The sequence below is a fragment of the Homo sapiens genome, chromosome 4, assembly GCF_000001405.40.
Source record: "Homo sapiens chromosome 4, GRCh38.p14 Primary Assembly".
In the NCBI taxonomy this organism is placed as follows: domain Eukaryota; kingdom Metazoa; phylum Chordata; class Mammalia; order Primates; family Hominidae; genus Homo; species Homo sapiens.
In genome coordinates this window covers 36848850-36855860 of record NC_000004.12, presented here as the reverse complement: position 1 = coordinate 36855860, position 7011 = coordinate 36848850, and the positions used below count along the sequence as shown (strand labels likewise).

General features: G+C 37.5%; 1 annotated feature.

The window, feature by feature from the left end:
- Window positions 5710–5879: an enhancer, noted in NCBI's record as "experimental_78610 CRE fragment used in MPRA reporter constructs". NCBI's record gives its function as "activates a minimal promoter by MPRAs in K562 erythroleukemia cells, with activity observed for the introgressed 4:36851689 variant allele {active_cell/tissue: K562}" and the evidence as "EXISTENCE:reporter gene assay evidence [ECO:0000049][PMID:34662402]".

Genomic DNA, 7011 nt, shown 5'->3' with positions numbered 1-7011 from the left:
AATTTGAATGTTGGCTTGCCTTGCTGGGTTGGGGAAGTTCTCCTGGATAATATCCTGAAGAGTGTTTTCCAGCTTGGTTCCATTCTCCCCGTCACTTTCAGGTACACCAATCAAATGTAGATTTGGTATTTTCACATAGTCCCATATTTCTTGGAAGCTTTGTTCATTTTGTTTTACTGTTTTTTTCTCTAAGCTTGTCTTCTTGCTTTATTTTATTAATTTGGTCTTCAATCACTGATATCCTTGCTTTCACTTGATCGAATCGGCTATTGAAGCTTGTGCATGCATCAAGTTCTCGTGCCATGGTTTTCAGCTCCATCAGGTCATTTAAGGACTTCTCTACACTGTTTATTCTAGTTAGCCATTCGTCTAACCTTTTTTCAAGGTTTTTAGCTTCCTTTCAATGGGTTAGAACATACTCCTTTAGTTTGGAGAAGTTTGTTATTACCAACCTTCTGAAGACTACTTCTGTCAACTTGTCAAAGTCATTCTCTGTCCAGCTTTGTTCCATTGCTGGTGAGGAGCTGCAATCCTTTGGAGGAGAAGAGGCTGTCTGGTTTTTAGAATTTTCAGCTTTTCAGCTCTGGTTTCTCCCCATCTTTATGTTTTTATCTACCTTTGGTTTTTGATGTTGGTGACCTACAAATGGGGTTTTAGTGTGGATGGCCCTTTTGCTGACGTTGATGCTATTCCTTTCTGTTTGTTAGTTTTTCTTCTAACAGTCAGGTCCCTCAGCTGCAGGTCTGTTGGAGTTTGCTGGAGTTTACTCCAGAATCTGTTTGCCTGGGTAACACCAGCAGAGGCTGCAGAACAGCAAATTTTGCCAAACAGCAAATATTGCTGCCTGATCCTTCCCCTGGAAGGTTCGTCACAGAGGGGCACATGCCTGTATGAGGTGTCTGTTGGCCCCTACTGGGAGGTGTCTCTCAGGTGACACGGGGGTCAGAGACCCACTTGAGGAGGCAGTCTGTCCGTTCTCAGAGCTCAAACGCCCTGCTGGGAGAACCACTACTCTCTTCAGAGCTGTCAGACAGGGACATTTTCGACTGTGTTTTTCATATACTTTCTAGTATTTCACTTCCTCAGACAAACTGTCCCTGACTACTGTGTACTACAAACCCCAACCTCCCCAATGAAGTCACAGTCTACCACCATACTTTGTTTTCTTTTTCTTCCAGTAAGTACCACACCATTTGATATCCTATTGTATATTTACTTGCTTTTGTGTTTCTTCTGTTCCATATAAAGACAATTTCCAGAAAGTTGCAAGAGGCTAGAGTATTTCCCGTTTTCACTGATGAATTCCTGGGATTTAAAAACACATAAAACTGGTGCTCATTGTGTATATGTACACATTTTGAAGACATATGATTTTTAGGAACAATAAAGATTGCTTACATGTTTACCATCTAAAATTTGATAGGAAGGGGAGGGATTGGTTTAAGGGAGGCATTTTCTCTTCATTTTATATCCTTTTTATTATTTGAATTTGTCATATGCCTGCATTATATTCATTAAAAAATACACATAAATGAAAGGCGTTAGACATACCAGGCCCTCTGAAAATCTCAAGTGGCATTATTTTCAACCCATGGGCCTTGCTGAAGTCATGAAAGGTAGGAATCATATTCTTAATTCCTACAAGCCAAGAATGTGGTGTTTTTGAAAAGTAAGCTAAAAATAAACATTAAAGATAATATTCTAAATATAATTATTCATTTTAACATAAAAAGATTAAAGTTTCAACCATCCTTTTATGTTTTAGATTCATTTATTTGTAACATACTGATAATCTGGATAAATTTTGCTGCTAAAACAATAATATAAGGTAATATTGCTTTTCTTTGTATTTTTAATGAATTCCAAATATTCTGTAAGGATTATTACATAGTTTGCGATTATTTGAGGTTGCAAAGAATAAAATATACCCCCTTTCAAAAACAAACAAGCAAATAAGCAAAAAGTATAGTGAGTGTTTTGAAATTGTTTATCTCCTATGACAGAAATTTGGAGATACAGAGATGAGGCTGTTACAATGGTTCTAACACGTCAGCAGGGCCCAGGTTACTTCTACCTGCTCCACAGTCCTTAGGAGGGATTGCTAAAGCTCCAACCACCACATCTACATTTCAGGCAGTAGTAATGAAGCAGGGAGAAAAGACATACAAAGCACATTTCTGTACAGAGTCAGGTTCCTCATGGAGTCTCCTTCAAGTTCCCTCTAACACGTCTGCTTATATCATTTTGGCACATCCTGGTCTCATGGCCATGCATAGCTCTTAGAAAAGCTGCATAATGTATTCTCGTGGCCGGTTGTATTAATGGTTTGAATAAGTCTGATATCATTACAATGGAAGAAGAGAAAAATAGATATTGGATAGGCCTATATTCTCTGCCATAATCAATTGATTGTTTTGTAATCAGGAATCTATGACACATATGTCTTTGCAGGTAAAATCAAAGCAAAACCAAACATCCTGGTGAAATCTTGCTACTTGCTGGTAATTCATTTAGTTTTTTTCCTTGGTATATTTTCTAACCATGAAAATGGAATTTCCTTAGAGGGGAATCCTATATGATACTTAGGACAGAGGCATTTTATAGTGATTTAGTGATTTCTCTGTTCTTGAAAGCAATAGAGTTTTTGTTCTTATCTCTTTTATTTCAGGGAGTAAAAGATGGAGAAATTGATGGTGCTGAGATGGACAGGAAATGCTTTATCTTTATGCAGACCCTGGGCATTCGAAGAACGAGCTGTCAGTTTTCTCAGTGATTTGTGATAAGGTCACTAAACAGAAGCAGCAATGAGCTCAGGCAGCATCTGGTAGATGCCTTGGAACTGGGAGAGGGTACGGATGGAACCCTCAGTGGCTGTGAGTGATGGCAAGAGTAGTTTATACTCGATGTTTTCCATTTTCAGTTGCAATTTAAATATTGCATCTTTATAATATTATTTGTGTTTAGTTATACCTCTTCAAATAAACTATATCTAACATCTTTGAGCTGAGGTCTTTTGGGAGACAACTCTCACATATTTCTGCACATTTTACAAGCAAAGGTACTAGCTGCCTTTTTTCCAAAACTATCTTTCAAAAATTTTTGCGAGTGAACAACTTTGGAAGAGATGCTATCTCCCCCTGGAGCAAAGTTCAGGTTTGTTTACTGTACAGTATAATAAAGATAATGTCTTCCTTTGAGGAAAAGTTCAAGAAGGCTTACTGTCAATTTTAAAAGAGTTGCATCTGCTAAACTTGGGATTCTTCTGTTGTAGGTATCACATCCTCTTCTTCCTGTTATCCTGTGAGTACTGTGGCCTGATAAGCTGGTACAAAATGAACATGCTCTGGCTACTGTTATGAATAATAAATTACTGTGTGAGTAATAAATTGCCTATTGTCTCTTATCCAGAAGTGTCGTGTCTTCTGCTGGACTGGCATTCAAGATACTGTGGCAGGCTAATGTGTTAGTTCCAAGTAAGTTCAGATCTCAGATATTTTACAGTTCCTGACAGAGTTTCCACACGCAGACGTATCGGCAGGGAATTTATTAGGTTCATGGTACCTACAACTCTCATATACCTTTTTGAGGAAATCTGACTATGTGACCCTCCTTTCCTGACAAGTGGTTGTTTGAAGCATATGTGAATTTATGTCCACAAATAGCCAAATGTAACCAACTCTGGACTGGCAGAGATTATAACATAGCTTAACATGGGAGGGCTGCCCAACTGTGGGAATCCCTCTGAACTAATCTAATCCTCTCTTTTGGGGAAATGATTGTGAGACCTGGAGAGAATCAGTGTTCAGGAGCTGTGCAGAAACCAACAGATGCATGACTAGATAGGAGAATGGGTAGGCACAGTCATGCATCTTTAATTGTCAAGTTCTTGAACAAATCAACTTTTTCACTACAGCTATTCTTGGACACCTGGGAAAACTACTAATTTTTGAGCAGTAATATACATTTCCAGGATGTGTGATATTATTTACTTCTCCATGTTTACTTATAATATCCTTCTCTGACTGAAAGTGACCACAATGTGCTACTACTTCTTGTAATGCAGAGGCAAGTCGACAAAGAGAAGAAAGATGATAACCTTCCCAAATGAAATCTGGATAAGGATTTACCTGGCACAAGGTTTAACTAAACTATCCTTCTAGTGTTTCCTGAATGAAAGGATTTAGAAATCCTGATCTGACAATCAGGTATTACACTTACTGGCAACAGATGCTGTTAAAACATGAATTTAAACAGCTGATTTGTGTTGATAAAACATTAGGATCATTTCAGAATAACTGATTATAATATGCTGTGGGTTTTCTGCCTGTTGTGTTGTAACACCTGTCAGTGAGTTAGAAGTGATATCCCTAATGATCAATCAGGTAAAATGGAACAAACTCGAAAGTCTTTAAAAAGGTGTTCAAGAAAACAAAATATTCCTTATTCTACATAACTGATAGTTTTTTAGGTTCAACTTATACAGATTAAAAAACAGAGTCAAAATATGTGGATTTTAGTAATAGCTTCTAATTTATCTAGTTTTTGCTAGAAAATATTTACTCAGACGAAACTCTAGCACATATTAATAAATGATGGTCTACAGTGGGAAAAAAATCCCATAGCCTATGATTATCTATACTAATGTGAACATTGTACCAGAACCAGAGGAGAAGAAAGCTGGCTTAGCTTTACTTGACTAATGTTGATTCAAAATTTATACCATCATACTACAGCTAATAGTGTTCAGATGGTCATGTGCAAGACATGTGCCTGACGGAAAAAACAATTTCGTAGTCTCACTCTCTAACACAGAATGAATATATGACATGGAGCAAGAGAATAAGATTGCCAACTCTATTAACTTCTCTAAAATATAGTAATTGCAGAATACTTCCATGGTGTTATGATTCTCTCTGTGTGTGTGTGTGTGTGTGTGTGTGTGTGTACCTGTGTGTATGTGAACATACCTACACTGGATCTGGATCTCCTGACTTTATGTTTAAACATCATGTAGATCCCTTATATTAAGCCAGATCATTGTTTCCTAATGGGTGTTCTGTGGAACACTAATTATGTCAAATATTTTATGAAAATATGTTTGGAGATAATATATTTCAAACTTCGGCACTGTATACTCTGCTCTCATAGACTCATGATGCGGATGACACTACTTACATTTATGAGAATTTCTACAGCATGAAAATCTTTTCATTTTTTTAGTTCAGTGTTTCCTAAACTTATAGAGCAAGGAAATATTTTTAAAATAATATTTATTAAGATTACAGGAACTAGTGTTTTCTGTAGTTGCTTTGCAGTTGAACACTCTATAAACTGGTTTTGCAAAAAGTTTCTCAGTTTTTAATTACAACCATTCTAATCTTCACCATCATCTCTGTACTTTTTTGGGTAGTGAAGTGTGATGGGGTGGGTAAGGGTGAGAAACCAATTTAAAAGTGCCATTTCACTGTAACTCAGATATTATTATTTCAAAGCAATTTTTATAAATGTAGAATCTTTTCAGTAAATACAAATTCAGAGACTCTTGTTGCCTTCAACTCCAATCATAGATGAACCTGGAATCAAGTGGGAACTTGCTGCTGCCCCTGATGCCTGGGGATGGCGTTGTGATCTTGAGCCCACCAGTGGCTTTGACTTCTTGCTTGAGAGTCTGCCCATTGGCTGGTCTGCGAGAATTTTCTACTGATAGAAAATCCTTGATGATCTGGCCTCACCTTTGTTTCCACTGAAATTGAAGCTCTCTGGGTCTTAGCCAGCATCTACATCAGATAGCAGGCTTGGTCCACCAACCTTGTGGCCATGCTGCCTTGTGTCAGTCTTGTAGCTTTCCTCCAAACTTTTCTCAACTCAGTTGTCTTTCTCCTCCCTTCTGGCACATGCAGGGATTTCCTGACCAATTCCACACCACAGAGAAACATTAACTCAGGCCCTCTCCATCCCTAAACTCCAATGAACATATTTACACACCACTCTGGATTAAAGGGCACAGGGGCACCTTTTAAGGTGATCTTTTCCTGGATTTCCAAATACAAATCCAGATACATCACCCTTAATTTCGAAGAGCTTCTCCTTAATATCTCTGAGAGTTCTATTTTATCACCCCTTTTCCTCCTTTCCTATGTCTTGACCTGAAGTTTGACCTTGTGGAGGTTAGGTTGTTGGAAGAGAAGAAACGTGTCTGAATTCTCTATAGAATAGCAGAGGTAGTAAAGGGTAGGATAAAAATGTTAGCTCTGGATCCTGAATTCTTCAGTTTGAATCTGCCTACTGCCACTTATAGTTGTGCAAGTTACTTAAACTTTCTACCTTAGTTTTCATATTTCTTTATCTGTGGGACATGGAGGAAATTGTAAAGATTTAATTAAACAATGTGTCCTAAGTACTTGAAAAGTACCTGGCACACGGAGCTTCTCACTCAAAGTTATCTATTGGCATTATTTCTCTACCTCTTTCTGTTCAAGGTGTTCTATTTCTGTTTGGAAAAGGATGAATCTTTACGATATGTAGAATTCTCTCTAATAGCTCTTTATAGTAAACTTATATAATAAGTTGGCCTGGTATAACACTTAAGGATATTACCTTGCTTTGGGGAAAAAAAAAGAACAAAGCTATATGAATTGTGAATCAAAAATGACCAATGTGTTTACTGTCTTACCTCATATATTCCCTTGCCCTGAAATCTTGAAAACTGTCCACTTAACATGTTGAGAAGCACTGAGCATCATGGTTCAGGTAAAATGAAAAATTCATGGATTAATATTATGAGAAATATATCTATTGAATGTGGAACATATATTGGGAAAAGCTGAGTTAAACTAACACTTGAATGTATCAGTATATTAGGCCATTCTTGCAGTGCTATAAAGGAATACTCGAGGCTGGGTAATTTATAAATAAAGGAGGTTTAATTAGCTCACGGTTCTGCAGGCTGTAGAAGCATGGCACCAATATCTGCTTGGCTTCTGGTGAAGGCCTCAGGAATCTTATAATCAT